We start from the raw sequence: 16,893 nt of genomic DNA, 5'->3' as shown, positions 1-16,893 counted from the left end.
CAATGGAGAAAAGACCTTGATGGAGTTCAGAAACCTTCATGGCGGGCCCACCTATCACAGGCACTGAGGCCTGGGAGAACAGAAACCACTACCCTGTGCCACCTCAAGACATGGCACCTGGCATGCTGGCTGCTCTAGCTACAGCTACAGCTGGGGCTCAAAGAGGCCCAGATACAGCTTGAGCTGACACTTTGAAGAATGCAAGCCATGAGTCTTGGCAGCTTCCACATAGTATTAAGATTGCAGGCACACAGAGTGCAATCTCGGCAGCCTCCTCCTAGATTTGAGAGGATGTATGAAAAAGCACAGTGTCCACGCGGAAGCCTCCTAAGAGTGGAGCCCTCACAGAGAATCTCTACTAGGAGAGTGCAGAGGAGAAATGTGGGGTTGGAGCTTCCACACAGAGTCCCCCCTGGGGCACTGCCTAGTAGAGTTGTGAGAAAGGGACCACCATCCTCCAAAATCCAGAATGGTAGATCCAGTGGGAGCTTGAATCCTGCATGTGGAAAAGCTGCAGGCACTCAATAACTTATGAGAGCAGCTACAGGGGCAGTACCCTGCAAAGCCACAGGGGTGGAGCTGCCCAAGGCCATAGGAGCCCACCTCATGCACCAGTGTGTCCTGCACGCAGGACATGGAGTCAAAGGAGATTTCTTGGAGCTTTAAGAGTTAATGACTGCCCTGCTGAGTTTCAAACTTACATGAGACCTGTAGCCCCTTTCTTTTTGCCAATTTCTACCTTTTGGGATAAAAATGTTTACCCAATTCCTATACCCCACTTGTACTGTGGGAGTAGATAACTTGTTTGATTTTACAGGCTCACAGGTAAAAGAGACTGGCCTTGTCTCAGATGAAACTTCGGACTTTGGACTTTAAACAATAGAACAAGTTACAATGTTGGGGGACTGTTGTGAAGGCATGATTGTATTTAGTTATGTGAGAAGGAAATGAGATTTGGGAGGGACAAGGGATGGAATGATATAGTTTGGAGATTTTTCCTTACCCAAATCTCATGTAGAATTGTAATCCCCAGTGCTGGAGGTGAGGCCTAGTATAAAGTGTTTGGGTCATGGGGCTAGATCCCTCATGGCTTGGTGCTATCTTCACTATAGTGAGTGAGTTCTCACTAACTCTGGTTATCTTTAAAAGTGTGTGGCACCTCTCCCCACCATCCTCTCTTCTTCCTGTTCTAGCCATGCTCCTACAATGGCCTGTTCCCCCTTCACCTTCCACTGTGACTGTAAGCTTCCTGGGGCCTCCCTAAAAGCCCAAGCAGATGCCGGCACCATGTTTACTTTAAAGCCTGCAGAACTGTGAGCCAATTAAAACTATTTTGTTTATAAATTACCTAATCAATGGCATTTATTTATAGCAATGCAAGAATGGCTTAATATAATTCATAATGTATTAATACATAAATAACATTTGGTATTTTACTTTGAACAAGATTTGCATATAATATTAATAAGAGATAGTAGATAAATTTCTGTTCAACATTTGAGTAAACTGTGAAGAAAAAAAAAACAATAGAAGACAGAAGCAGACACAGATACTGTCCCATATTGTTTTCATTAGGTCTCCAGATTGTTTGGAAAACTGAAAACAGATTTTTGCTTTTTAAAACCTTTTATTTATCCCTTTGGCTAAATAAATATTATTTACAGTGACTAGTGATCCTGTTTTAATTGTTTTAAACCTTTGACATATTTGATATGTTTCCCAAAATCAAACTTCAAATTAAAAGTTGTCTTTTTGTGACCTCAAACTACTTTGGAATGCTACAGAGGGACCCTGAAACATTCAAAAGAGAGATGAACAGGCTTATTTGGTATGTTAAAGCATATGGGAAGCATTGTCAAATAAGAAATGTTTTACCCTCTTTGAGTTATATTTTCATGAATACGTTATTAATATATGTTCCAAAATTGTATGTGATTCCTAAAATTCTGTTATATCTTGGTAGGAAATCAGTCATAACTATAGTTATTATGTTAAGTTATTATAGGCCACAGAAACAACCAAATTTTCTTCTCACTTGTGTCTTTGATCATGATCATATTAATTCTTGTCCACAGTTAACTGCTTAATTCTGATGCATTTTAAAACAGCTCTTTACAAGCAAATAAAATCCTAAAGTGTTGTGTCTTCATGGAAGTTCATGGAAAGGGTAGAAAGGACCATAAGAAGCACCTTTGAATACAGGTTTCTGATGACTTTAGGATCATATCATTTGGACTAAGTAAGGATTCCTAGTACTCCAATGAAAAGACTAACTGATTTATAAAACTGCTAATCCAAGGAGGACAATAATTAATTGAATACCAAGAAAATACTTTGCCAGGTTTTCATAATAAATCAGCCAGCACTGAAATTATTAAGATGTGCTATTCGAATGAACTCCATGATGCAAGTCAAATTACCAATGTGATATGGTTTGGCTGTGTCCACACCCAAATCTTATCTTGAAATGTAGCTCCCATAATTCCCACGTTTTGGGAGGCACTCGGTGGGAGATAACTGAATCATGAGGGCGGTTTCCCCCATATTGTTCCCATGGTAGTGAATAAGTCTCACAAGATCTGATGGTTTTATAAGGGGAAACACTTTTGCATGGCTCTCATTTTCTCTTTGCCTGCCACCATGTAAGACGTGCCTTTCGCCTCCCACCATGATTGTGAGGCATCCCCAGGCACGTGGAACCATGAGTCCATTAAACCTCTTTCCTTCATAAATTACCCAGTCTCAAGTATGTCATTATCAACAGCATGAAAATGGACTAATACAGTAAGCAGGTACCATTAGAGTGGGGTGCTACTGTAAAGGTACCTGAAAATGTGGAAGCAACTTTGGAACTGGGTAACAGTCCAGAGATTTGGACAGTCTGGACGGCTCAGAAGAAGACAGCAAAATGTGGGAAAGTTTGGAACTTCCTAGAGACTTGTTGAATGGCTTTGACCAAAATGCTGATAATGATATAGACAATGAAATCCAGGCTGAGGTAGTCTCAGATGGAGATAAGTAACTTGTTGGGAAGTGGAGCAAAGCTGACTCTTGTTATTTTTTAGCAAAGAGACTGGCAACATTTTGTCCCTGCCCTAGAGATTTGTGGAACTTTGAACCTGAGAGTGATGATTTAGGGTACCTGGCAGAAGAAATTTCTAAGCAGCAAAGTATTCAAGAGGTGACTTGGGTGCTGTTAAAAGCATTCAGTTTTAAAAGGGAAACAGCATAAAAGTTCAGAAAATTTGCAGCCTGACAATGCGACTGAAAAGAAAAACCCATTTTCTATGAAGAAATTCAAGCCAGATGCAGAAATTTGCTTAAGTAACGAGGAGCCAAATGTTAATTGCCAAGACAATGGGGAAAATATCTCCAGAGCATGTCAGAGACTTTTGCAGCAGCCCCTTCCATCACAGGTCTAGAGGTCTAGGAGGAAAAAAATGGTTTTGTGGGCTCAGCCCAGGGTCCCCCTGCTGCGTGCAGCCTAGGGTCTTCGTGCCCTGCATCCCAGCTGCTCTAGCCATGTTTAAAAAGGGCCAAGGTACAGCTTGGGCTATGGCTGCAGAGGGTGCAAGCCCAAAGCCTTGGCAGCTTCCACCTGGTGTTGAGCCTGAGGGTGTACAGAAGTCAAGAATTGAGGTTTGGGAACCTTTGTCTAGATTTCAGAGGATGTATGGAGACGCCTAGATGTCCAGGCAGAAGTTTGCTGCAGGGGCAGGGCCCTCATAAGAACCTCTACTATGGCAGTGCAGAAGGGAAATGTGGGGTTGGAGCTCCCACACAGAGTCCACACTGGGGCACTGCCTAGTGGAGCTGTGAGAAGAGGGCCACCATCCTCCAGACCCCAGAATGGTAGATCCACTGACAGCTTGCACTGTGCACCTGGAAAAGCCACAGGCACTCAGTGCCAGCCCATGAAAGCAGCCGGAAGGGGCTCTGTACCCTGCAAAGCCACAGGGCAGAGTTGTCCAAGACTATGAGAACCTACCTCTTGCATCAGTGTGACCTGGATGTGAGCCACATGGAGTCAACAGAAATCATTTTGGAGCTTTAAGATTTGACTGTCCCACTGGATTTCAGACTTGCATGGGGCCTGTAGCCCCTTTGTTTTGGCCAATTTCTCCCATTGGGAATGGCTGTATTTATCCAATGCCTATACTCCCACTGTATCTAGGAAGCAACTAACTTACTTTTGATTTTACAGGCTCATAGGTGGAAGGGACTTGCCTTGTCTCAAATGAGATTTTGGACTGTGGACTTCTGAGTTAATGGTGAAATGAGTTAAGACTTTGAGGGACTGTTGGGAAGGCATAATTGGTTTTGACATATGAGGACATGAGATTTGAAAGTGGCCAGGGATGAAGTGATATGGTACAGCTATGTCCCCACCCAAATCTCATCTTGAATTGTAGCTTCCATAATTCCCACGTTTTGGGAAGAACCCAGGGGGAGACAACTGAATCATGGGGGCAGTTTTCCCTATACAGTTCTCTTGGTAATGAATAAGTCTCACGAGATCTGATGGTTTCATAAGGGGAAACACTTTCGCATGGCTCTCATTCTCTCTTTGCCTGCCACCATGTAAGATGTGCCTTTTGCCTCCCACCATGATTGTGAGGCCTCCCCAGCCACATCAAACTATGAGTCCATTAAACCTCTTTCCTTTATAAATTACCCAGTCTTGGGTATATCTTCATCGGCAGCGTGAAAACAGACTAACAAACTATGATAATCCATCTAGAAAACAATGCTACACACTTAATTTGGAGAAACAAAATTGGTATTTAAGAGAATATAAATCCAATGTTAAATGTAGACTCACAGAGAGAGGCTGGACAGTCACCTGTAATTCCTAAATCCTTAAACCTCCATTATTAAAAGCTCTAGCTGGGCATTGTGGCTTCTACCCATAATCCCAGCTTCTCAGGAGGCTTAGGTGGGAGAATTGCTTGAGCCCGGGAGTTCAAGGCTACACTGAGCTACAACTGTGCCACCACACTCCAGCCTAGGTGACAGAGCAAGACTCCATCTCTAAATAAATAAATACATAAATAAATAAATAAATAAATAAATAAATCGTCTATACTCCATGACTCACCATGGAGGAGATAAAATGATCCAAATAGAATACACACATGCATGCACACACTCACACACACACACACTTACAAACTGGTGTGGTGACTCTTCTAAATTACCAAAATGACTTGTGACAAATATACTTCAGGTATATTTCTGCTACCTGATTGGCCATTTGAACATAGAAAGATTTCATTCCATTGTTGTTTTCAATGCATATATTCTGGTTATACAGAAGCTTTCTCATACAAGAAGGTTAATCCTATAACAGTAGCTAAAAGGTTATCAGAAAATGTATTTCCCTCATGGGACATTCCTGGAAAAGTCTCTAGTGATAAAGGTACTTGTTTCACTGGACAAGTAAAATAAATAAGGTATTACAAATACAGTAACATTAAGCAAAACTAATTGAATCAACTAGGTTGCCTTGGTCAAAGATATTGCAGATTGATAACAATCAGATCTAGTTCCAGAGGAAAATATAAGTTGATCCCTTATGAAATAGTCACTGGAAGGCCTATGCTCCTAATAATAGAACCTCATGTATCTTCCATTCCTAAACTCTAATATGACTAAATTCTACCAGGCTTTAATGTATTATGCCAAAGTGTATTTTCACCAGGTTAAAGAAAGTTTGTCATGGTCCCCCAACAGAGGACAATCAAACCCAGGTGATCTAAAACTCAGAGATTTGGTCTTCTGGAAACATCAAGGAAAGACTGCCCCTGCCACCCACACTGCAACAAAACTGTGGGACTGTGAACCTTAAGCTTGTAATCTCACAACTCAGAAGATCCCCTACAGACTCTTGGAACTATACACCCATTGGAGACCTTAAGGTAAAGCTAACCACAGAAGTTTCTCCCTAGAAGCAGATGACATCCCAGATTCAGACAGCTTTCCAAAGATCACAGATCAAGACTTCTCTGCTATCATGAAACTCTTACTTCTCAATTTTTTCCTTGCTTATACCTCTATGAGCAATACCACTGGAAAAGGGGTTTGTGTGCACTCATGAAGTATACTTTTATTTGTGGGGGATTTTGCAGCCAACCTTATTTATGGACAACCTATGCTTTGATACATGAAAGATGAAAAACAACGTGTTCAAGAAATTTTAATATCTTTGTTGCTTCATAATGTCAGAGACAGAACAGTGGTCCACTCCTCTTAACCTACGTCATCAGTTCAAGAGAAAACTGCCAGAAGGCCTTCATTATTCCAGATGGGCGGTCTCTTTTTACACAGTTTGGAGTAAATGAGGCAATGATTAAAAATTTATTCCTTATAACAGGTTCTACAGCAGATTCTACTGCAAAGACTATGGGTGCACAAAAAGCTTCTTTAAATTCTCTTGCTGAAGTTATGCTACATCCAATAAAATTATAACTTACTGCTGAACAGAGAAGTATCTGTGAAGTTACTGACACTTCTTGTTGCACATGACACATACATTATGTATTATAGAGATTCTGTTGTAGGGGATTAACAAATAGGTTGCTTGGTTGAAACAAACAGATGCTTTATCTAGCTTATTCTTTGGTCTTTGATTTTAGCTGGTTTGGTTCATGAGGATCCCAGCTAAGGCATACTCCAAACTCTTGGTATTATCCTCCTGACAGTCATAATAGTCATCTCCCTGGTGCACTGTATTCTCTCAAAAGTTTTAAATGTTTGCATACAGTCATCTATAGAATGTCAAATGGTTTCTCTTCAACTGGAACAACAAAAACTCAAAGAAATGCATGATTATGAGAACACCATAACCTATGAACGACACACTGTGACTGGAAACCCTAAATGATGGTAACTAAGAGTAGTGCTAATGCCCTAAGCTTTGCTCACACTCTCACCTACGTAAAAACCTGACCAAAAGGATGAGTTAAACAAAATTATGGGAGGTCATTGTTTTGGACTGAGCTCATACACTAGGCCTTAACAGACCAGACCAGATCAAATCAAGATGGAGTCACTCATGCTAAATGCAACATAATCAAATTGAAACTTTAAAGAAGCAGATAGCCCCCCAAAAAAGACCAGAAATGTTTTTCTCTCTTGAAAACAGGACATTCCAGCATAATAAGGAAGTCTCCTCTAGGCTACCTTTTACAAAAAAGTAAGTTAAAGTCCTGTTTACAAGGACTTACAAAACCCACTGTTCTGCTATTTTCTAGTGAGATTTGAGACCAAGTAAATACATTTATCATGGCAAAAGAATGATGTCAACGCATAAAGTTTTGGTCAACCTCTCCGGTTGACCAAATGAAGGGAATTGTTAAATTAGGCTTAGCCTAAAACTGCCCTCATTATAAGTTTGGCCTAAAGGTTTCTCTGTACATAGTGAACTGTAATCTAACTAGATGTATAAACAGACTGCAACTTACTCTTGTACCAATCACTGAGTTTCAGGCAATAACAGGTGACCAACTGTTCAACTGTAGCAAATGCTGAACTGCAACACATCCAGCTATTCCTGTACCTCATTTTCATTTTCTGTACATCATTTTCCTTTTTCTGTCCATAAATCCTCTCTGACCATGTGGCAGTGCCAAAGTCTCTCTGAATCTATTCTGGTTCAGGGGATTCCTGATTCAGGAATCATTCTTTCCTCAATTAAACTCTGTTAAATTTAATTTGTCTGAAGTTTTTCTTCTAACAAGTCAACTGAAATATGTACTAAATAAGTATTAATATATAAGAAAACTGTTACTGGAGCATAAGGAAAAGAGGCATTAGTTGTGAATGGTGTTGATAAAACTTCATAGAAGAAAAACATTTTTTAGTTTTATAAGCATTTGGGCCATGAAAGACATGCAAAATTGTGATAGGCATAAAATGAAGAATAAATTTCAGGCTTACATTTTTTCACATGCAAAGTATGAAAGCAAATGGAAAATTCAGGAAGTTGAAAGTATTCTCATTTGGAATAAGGTATGCATGGGGGGAAAACAGGGAGGAAAATACAATAGAAGAAGCTGGAAAGTCAGCGTGAGGTAGAATACTAAGAATTATTTCCCATATTATCTAATATCCAATTAAGATTGTAACATCACAAGTTATAGAAATCAGTAAGACAATGTTGAGAAAGATTACAAACCTATCTTGAATAGGTCAGATATTTGATTAATTCTTTTTAGACTCATAGCATATCTCAAAACCATTTCTGAACTACTGGGTAAAAAAGACTTGATGCCAGAAGTCACATGAAGTTCTTTATCAATATTAATCCTTTATCTTTCACACATTTCTTTTTTTAACATCAGATGTGTAATGTGCAAACATAATACCAAGGTTTGAGGGAGGAACATCTCAAATGAGCGTTAAACACCCAATCACACTTATGAACTATGAAAGAATCTCTAATACACATTTTTTCATTATACTTTAAGTTCTAGGGTACATATGCACAACGTGCAGGTTTGTTACACAGATATACATGTGCCATGTTGGTTTGCTGCACCCATCAACTTGTCATTTACTTTAGGTATTTCTCCTAATTCTATCCCTCCCCCAGGCTCCCATGCCCAGACAGGCCCTGGTATGTGATGTTCCCCACCCTGTGTCCATGTGTTCTCATTGTTCAACTCCCACCTATGAGTGAAAACATGCGATGTTTGGTTTTCTGTCCCTGTGATAGTTTGCTTAGAATGATGGTTTCCAGCTGCATCCATGTCCCTGCAAAGGACATGAACTCATCCTTTTTTATGGCTGCATAGTATTCCATGGTGTATATGTGCCACATTTTCTTAATCCAGTCTATCAGTGATGGACATTTGGGTTGGTTCCAAGTCTTTGCTATTGTGAATAGTGCCACAATAAACATACATGTGCATGTGTCTTTATAATAGCATGATTTATAATCCTTTGGGCTTATACCCAGTAATAGGATTTCTGGGTCAAATGGCATTTCTAGTTCTAGATGCTTGAGAAATTGTCACACTGTCTTCCACAATGGTTGAACAAATTTACACTCCCACCAACAGTGTAAAAGTGTTCCTATTTCTCCACATCCTCTCCAGCATCTGTTGTTTCCTGACTTTTTAATGATTGCCATTCTAACTGGCATGAGATGGTATTTCACTGTGGTTTTGATTTGCTTTTCCCTAATGACCAGTGATGATGAGCTTTTTTTCATGTTTGTTGGCCAGATAAATGTCTTCTTTTGAGAAGTGTCTGTTCATATCCTTCATCCACTTTTTGATGTGGTTGTTGTTTTTTTTCTTGTAAATCTGTTTAAGTTCTCTGTAGATTCTGGATATTAGCCCTTTGTCAGATGGGTAGATTGCAAAGGTTTTCTCCCATTCTGTACTGCCTGTTCACTCTGATGATAGTTTCTTTTGCTGTGCAGAAGCTCTTTAGTATAATTAGATCCCATTTGTCTATTTTGGCTTTTGTTGCCATTGCTTTCGGTGTTTTAGTCATGAAGTCTTTGACCATGCCTATGTCCTGAATGGTATTGCCTAGGTTTTCTTCTAGGGTTTTTATGGTATTAGGTCTTACATTGAAGTCTTTAATCCATCTTGAATTAATTTTTTATACTGTGTAAGGAAAGGATCCAGTTTCAGCTTTCTACATATGGCTAGCCAGTTTTCCCAGCACCATTGATTAAATAGGGAATCCTTTCCCCATTGTTTTTGTCAGCTTTGTCAAAGATCAGATGGTTGTAGATGTATGGTGTTATTTCTGAGGCCTCTCTTTGGTTCCATTGGTCTACATAACTGTTTTGGTACCAGTACCATGCTGTTTTGGTTACTGTAGCCTTGTAGTATACTTTGAAGTCAGGTAGTGTGATGCCTCCAGCTTTGCTCTCTTTGCTTAGGACTGTCTTGGCTATGCGGGCTCTTTTTTGGTTCCATATGAACTTTAAAGTAGTTTTTTTCCAATTCTGTGAAGAAAGTCAGTGGTAGCTTGATGGGGATACCATTGAATCTATAAATTACCTTGGGCAGTATGGCCATTTTCACAATATTGACTCTTCCTATCCATGAGCATGGAATATTCTTCCATTTGTTTGTGTCCTCTTTTATTTCGTTGAGCAGTGGTTTGTAGTTCTCCTTGAAGAGGTCCCTCACATCACTTGTAGGTTAGATTCCTAGGTATTTTATTCTATTTGTAGTAATTGTTAATGGGAGATCACTCATGATTTGGCTGTTTGTCTATTATTGGTGTATAGGAATGCTTGTGATTTTTGCACATTGATTTTGTATCCTGAGACTTTGCTAAATTTGCTTATCAGCTTAAGGAGATTTGGGGCTGACACGATGGGGTTTTCTAAATATATAATCATGTCATCCGCAAACAGAGACAATTTGACTTCCTCTTTTCCTAACTGAATACCCTTTATTTCTATTGTAACACACCTCCTTAATACAAATGGCTTTGTTTCTCTGTTTTATAATGCCACCATAACTAAAACTGTATTGAAAAGGCAATTAAATTAAGAGAGTCTTTTCCTCCAGAAAAAAAATTTTTTTTTTTTTTGAGACAGAATCTCACACTCTGTCACCCAGGCTAGGGTGCAGTGGTGTAATCTCAGCTCACTGCAATCTCTGCCTCCCAGATTCAAGCAATTCTCCTGCCTCAGCCCCCTGAGTAGCTGGATTACAGTTACGTGCCATTATGCCCAGCTAATTTTTTGTATTTTTAGTAGACACGGGGTTTCACCATGTTAGCCAGGCTAGTCTCGAACTCCTGACCTGATGATTCGCCTGCCTGGGCCTCCCAAAGTGCTAGGATTACAGGCGTGAGCAACTGTGCCTGGCCTGCTCCAGAAAAATTTATGTAGTCGCTAGATACAGAATCTTCAGAGCTGACATTATTATTCTGTTCACAAAATAAAATATTGATATTAGAGACTGACATTAAAAATATGTAAAAATTACACTTGTAGCTTGTTATTGACACTAGAGAATGACTATATTTATAAGACTATAGATAGATAGATAGATAGATAGATAGATAGATAGATAGATAGATAGACTCTTCTGACTCCAAAGGGAAAAGGTGTTTCATTTCTTCTCTGAAATTTGCTTCTTGAAGAAAAGTATCAACTCAATTCTGAAATAAAAATATGGTGATAAATAGAAGAATAATTTGAGTTCATTGTAAATATTCCACCTGTAACTGCTTTCTGCTTGAACAAAAAAAGTACTTCTTTGAAAAAGACATTGGAGAGTAAAAACACTTTTATCCACTGTTGCCTGGGTATAAGAATATGTGTTTTTCACACAAAACATAAAAAGAAAAAACTCTGATAACAATATTTACATTTTTTACAATTTGTGTAAATTTAATTGCACTTAATCTCAACTGATGTCGTTAACTGTAAACTTCCTACTACTATATGATGCACAGTGATATGATCTGATTTGTATTTTAGAAGAGATCACCACCATAAGAGGCACATAGCTTACACAAAAACATCTTCTGTCTATATGAAGCTTGTCTAACCTGGGACCCATGGGCCACATGAGGCCCAGGACAGCCTTGAATACAGCCCAAGAAAAATCTGTAAACTTTCTTAAAGTATTATAAGATTTTTGGAAACTTTTTTTAGCTCATCAGCTATCATTAGTGTTACTGTATTTTATGTGTGGCCGAAGACAATTAATTCTTCTTCCAATGTAGCCCAGGGAAGCCAAAAGATTGGACACCCCAGGTCTATATCATTCTCAATATCATTCTCTGTATCTTTCTCAATCTTCAGAAAAAGTAGAAATAACAAGTGAAATTTCAAAATTGTATTTTAGAACAAATCATATCATATCACTCCTTTTCTCCCTTTCTAGGCCAGATGCAAAGGCACCAAAACATCAAATGGTAAGGCATGCTCAAAAAACAGCATCTAGGCTAGATGCAGTGGCTCACGCCTGTAATCCTAGCACGTTGGGAGACCAAGCGGGCAGATTGCCCGAGCTCAGAAGTTTGAAACCAGCCTGGGAAACACGGTGAAACCCCATCTCTACTAAAAATACAAAAAAATCAGCCAGGGGTGGCGGCGTGTGCCTGTAATCCCAGCTACTCGGGAGGCTGAGGCAGGATAATTGATTGAACCCGGGAGGCAGAAGTTGCAGTGAGCCAAGATCACGCCACTGCACTCCAGCCTGGGTGACAGAGCGAGACTCTGTCTTAAAAAAAAAACAAAAAACAGCATTTATAGTATTACCAAATAACTAAATGGGAAATTAGGGAAATTAGAGAGCAACTAGCTTTAATATTTTAAAGTATTTTGAAGTAGCTGAAGTACTTTACTTTCACAAATAACTCCAAAATTCTCCTCCAAAGTCATAGGAAAAAAAATAATGACATCAGAATGTATACAGCAGCACTATTCATAATAGGCAAAAATTAGAAACAAACTCAAACGCACATCAATAGTAAAACTGATCAATAAAATGTGGTATATTCAGATACTGAAGTACAGACAGCACTGAGAATGAATGAAATACAATTGCATGCAATTATATAGCTGAATCTCACAGACATTATATTGAGCAAAACAATACAGAACCAATAGAATACATTGTATGATTCTTTCTGTAAACTCTAAATAAAAATAGGCCAAAATAATGGTGCTGGACAGAAAATAGTGGTGCTAGGCAAAAGGATAAAAGTTACCCTTGGAGATGGGAAATAGTTCTCCCTGAAAGGGAGCATGAGGAAATCCTGCATGGCTGTTAATGTTCTGCTTCTTGATCTCAGTGCTACTTTCTATACCTTCAATCTGTGCACTTTTCATTTTTTATATTACTTATAAGTTTTACTTAAGTTTTATATTACTTAGCAATAAGTACTTTGCTGCTTTTATCAATTTTTCTAAGTATCCTTTTCTGAGCAACCTATCATTTGTCATTTTAAAAGTTTATTTACTTATCCCTGCCTTGAGCCACACAGCATTTAATATGATTCTAAGGTATGAGAAAGATTCTGGCAATTTTACATTATTCAGATTAAAGATTATCTATGTTAGACCTGGAAACACATCTATGTCCAGGAACTGCCTTTACCATTTCACAACTCCGTATCAGATTTGTTTTTTTGTTTTTGTTTTTGTTTTTGTTTTTATCCACGAAGCAGCATGTTTATTCCGGGCCCTAGTATACAGCCCCCTGATTTCATTCCCACTCATCATCACCAATAAAATGAGGACAGATTCCGGGCTGGCTGAGGCCCTGAGGTCCTTGGCTCCTTGCCCTGTGCCTTCTCAGCCTCGAGGCAGACAGTCTGTGTCAGAGGTAGAGATGGCACCTACAGAAGGTACCAGAGCTGAGCAGATACGTGAGCACAGAGGCAGGAATAGCAGGAAGCAAAGGGTGCACATCCATGAGTCCAGCTAGCGCTTCACTTGCTGCCCGCCATGATCTTGTGGTACTGCAGGGCACGGCAAGCAGCCTCACCACGGGCTGCCTCCCTGGTGGTTGCAGAGCCATGATATGCAGTGGCCAGCTGGAAGGACAGTTCCACCAGACACTGGCAGAGTCTACTCAGGCTCAGCTCCTCAACATCCAGGTAATTGACGTGGAAGACCTGCTCTTCAGAGAGCTCACTGAGGACACGGCAGCAGGCAGGGCCCAGGGCACCTATGGAGCCCAGGGAGCAATTGCAGAAGGACAGGATCTTCTCTCCAATGAATTTGGTAGAAAATCTCAGGTGCGGCCTGGGCCCCGGTTCTGAAGACCATCCAGGCGGGAGCCCACATCAATGGAGAAGTAGTCATCATCAGGCTCTGCCTCATTGCCATCCCAGGCATCCACAGACACCGTGTGCACTCGAAGCAGCATTTTGGTCACTGCATTACAACTTGTTGATTTTTTGGAAGTGCCACTGCCAATCTCAGTGAAACGCTCCACTCGTCAGGTCAATTCTTCGTGTTGATCTGGCCTGGACTCCTAGGTCACTGTGTGCTCTGGCAACCACCAGCCTTTCTGCACCACCAGTTTCTGAAGAGCACCAACAGGGATGCACTCCGACTGCTGAAGGGAGGAGCGGGGGCTGCTTTTCCATGGGGGTGCTCCTGGTTAGGAAAACAGATGAAACTGGGGTAGCAGCTGCTGCAGCAGTAAAAACTGGAAAGTCCTCAGGCAGTGAAGAGTCTAGGGGAGAAAAAGAACTGCTGTCCTCCGGGGCCGGCTCCAACATGCTCTCCACTTTGAGGTGTCTGAGGGCCACCTCAGCTGCCTTGTGCTTGACTACCTTCTTCCTGGGGCCCTGAGCAGTGCAGCTGGTGTTGCCAACAGACCCAGAAGGTGAAATTAGGCTGGTGGGCCCTCGGCTTTGAGAAGGTAGTACACAGGTGTTCTTCCCTATTCTGGTACCATACTTCTGCAGAAGGCTGATTGGGGTCTTGCCCGGGTTGGTGGCCAGCATTTTCTCTACACTAGGCAGCCCGCAGCCCGTGGTAGTGCCAGAGTCTTGCTCCTCTTCACCCATTCCCTCCTCTGTCCCCACAGGCACCACTGTGACTGCCTCCATATCAACTTCTTTGACCAGTCAAGCACCATAAGAAGCACACAGCTTACAAAAACAATCTTTTGTCTATATCATTCTTAATCTTCAGAAAAAGTAGAACAAGTGAACTTTAAAAATTAAAATTAAATATCCTCAAGGACTCTTCGATTTCTATCAGCATTAGCCTTCAAAACAAAAAGATAAACATTTCTGGGGACCCATCTGCTCTCTCCTTGTGAATGAATAATGGACTGCCCCACATATTTTTAAATTTCACCTTTGATCCTATATTCTGCTATTGCAAGCTAACATGAGTAGACACAGCAAAGAAATCATGTGATACACTCAGTCTTGTCATCAACAGGTAAAAGCAGTCTTTCCAAAACATCCTTCTAAGCAACTCTCTATGACCTGAGATCTGCACATTTAGTACTCTGGAGGAGACAAGGGAGAAAAACTGTCCTGGACACTTCATGAAAAGAGTGTGGTAAGTCATGCTAATAATTAGCACTTCCATTAAAAGCTCCAAAACGTTGACCCTTGAATTCATGTTTCACAACTAAAAAGATACACACCATTTTCCCTGGGCTTGAAAATCTTCTCCACTGGGAGTCCTTAAACAGGAGTCTTAAGAAGCTTCCAGAAGCAGATGATCTTTGGAAAAAAACAGCTAATGACTCCTGGATCAAGCAAATGACAAACCAAAGTATACAGCTTCCACCCAAGAACAGAAGATTGTAATTCTTCTGGTATCTCTGCTCCTCCTTTCTAAAACAATTTTGTTTACTTGTAATCTTATTTATTATTGTGCTTTGGCATCCCTAGTGATCAACTAAAGGCTTCTCAGAATATGTGTATACATTCACATACGGCCAGTGTTATCACGTTCTTTATCTCCATTAGTCTTTCATTACCACCTAAGAGAAGGCAAAAATCTCCCTGTTATCTCACTGACAAAACTTAATATTAGGTTGGTGCAAGGTAATTGCAGTTTTGGCATTGAAAGTAATTTACTTTTGCACCAACCTAATAGCTGTTACTTAAAACACTACAAATAGCAAATTTCCTTCCAGAGGACACTTGTATATTTGAATTTTCTTCACGTTATAACCTAACCTTCAGTCTTGTAAAAATTAGACCTTGATCCTAGTCATTATAGCAGTTACAGTAGAAGCAACTACGGTATCGGAGTTGTGAACAAATGTGAACCTGAAAGAGTTAATCCTTCAAGGTGGAACTCAAGTGGCTAACTGGGTCTAGATTTTAAATACAGCCAAGCTGCCATTTGCTAACTAGAGGTCATCACATACTCTGAGTTTCCAGAAAACCCACACCTCTATTGAACTTTGTGCTCACCTAAACCAAGTAATCAGGGCTCAGCTATACCAACCAATCAGAACCCAGCTGTATCAACCAGTCAGAACTGAGCTGTGTTAACCAATGAGAATGAAGCAAGTTTGAATCCTTCATTTTCATAAAGAAACTGGATTAAAAACATGGGCAGGAACGTTTGCTATAAAATCAGATCCTCCCTTTGCTTTCTGGAATGCACCTTCCTCTATCATTGAAAACTATGTCTACCCCATTTGCAAACAAAGTCTCTTTCCTCAAAATTCCTTTCCAGAAAAATTTTGTTGACAGGGCAATCCTTGCTACAGTAACTATTCTTTTGGGAAATCTTTATCTTTTGGCATCCTAAAATTTCTGTCTCATTGCAGTAAATAAGAATCAAATGTAAACTAACTGTAGGTGTTACTAGAACTCATTATATAGAGGATAGTGCCTTGTGAGAAGTTTTAGGCAATAATCTGTGAGCAAAAGTGACCTATGACACTTCTGTCTTACATAATTAAGAATAAGTGTGAGTTCTCCATTATCTCTCTTCCACTGGTGTAGCAACCCTGGAAGCTATGTGTTCCAGATGGCTTACAAGAGAGCAGCAGCCTAAATCTCTGAATTGCCACTTGGAAGAGAAACCTACTCCTATGAATAGGTTTTGGTCTTTAGTGAACCTGTGCTCTTGGGCTGTGACTCTGAAAGTGATTCTCAGCTTCTTGTCCCCCTTAGGTGAGGCGGAAAATCTAAAGACTGGAGTTATTTTCCTTTTCTCATATTGATTCAGCTCTGGTAAAGTTGTTTCTCTTGAGGGAAGGTGGGGAACAGAAAGTTCTGGGAGTATGTCAAAATGGTTACTCCTTCCCTGGGCTATTTCAGAATGGTTACTTTCCCCTCCCCCAGCTGGAGGCATGAGGGGACTTTTCTCTGATCTTCACTTTCAGAGCTTGATGGTACTCCCAGAAGTAAAACCTTAAAATTGTGGGGGCTTCCCTAAGGCTAGGACCGCAAGAAGTTTTAACTTTTAAGTTA

At 40.3% G+C, this 16,893-nt stretch overlaps 1 protein-coding gene, 1 non-coding gene and 1 pseudogene across 48 annotated transcripts in view; all 3 read right to left on the bottom strand.

The window, feature by feature from the left end:
* The window catches only part of RIMS2 (regulating synaptic membrane exocytosis 2), a 755,485-nt gene that overhangs the window by 582,364 nt on the left and 156,228 nt on the right, over positions 1–16,893 (bottom strand). The window lies entirely within an intron of this gene.
* On the bottom strand, positions 8,337–8,436 carry LOC124902094 (small nucleolar RNA U13). The gene has a single exon (XR_007061222.1). It is a non-coding gene; the product is annotated as a small nucleolar RNA U13 (small nucleolar RNA).
* TARBP2P1 (TARBP2 pseudogene 1) lies at positions 13,143–14,487 on the bottom strand (annotated as a pseudogene).

Source organism: Homo sapiens, chromosome 8, assembly GCF_000001405.40.
Source record: "Homo sapiens chromosome 8, GRCh38.p14 Primary Assembly".
NCBI classification, from domain to species: Eukaryota; Metazoa; Chordata; class Mammalia; order Primates; family Hominidae; genus Homo; species Homo sapiens.
The sequence above is the reverse complement of the archived record's forward strand: the minus strand, read 5'-3'. Positions and strand labels throughout refer to the sequence as shown.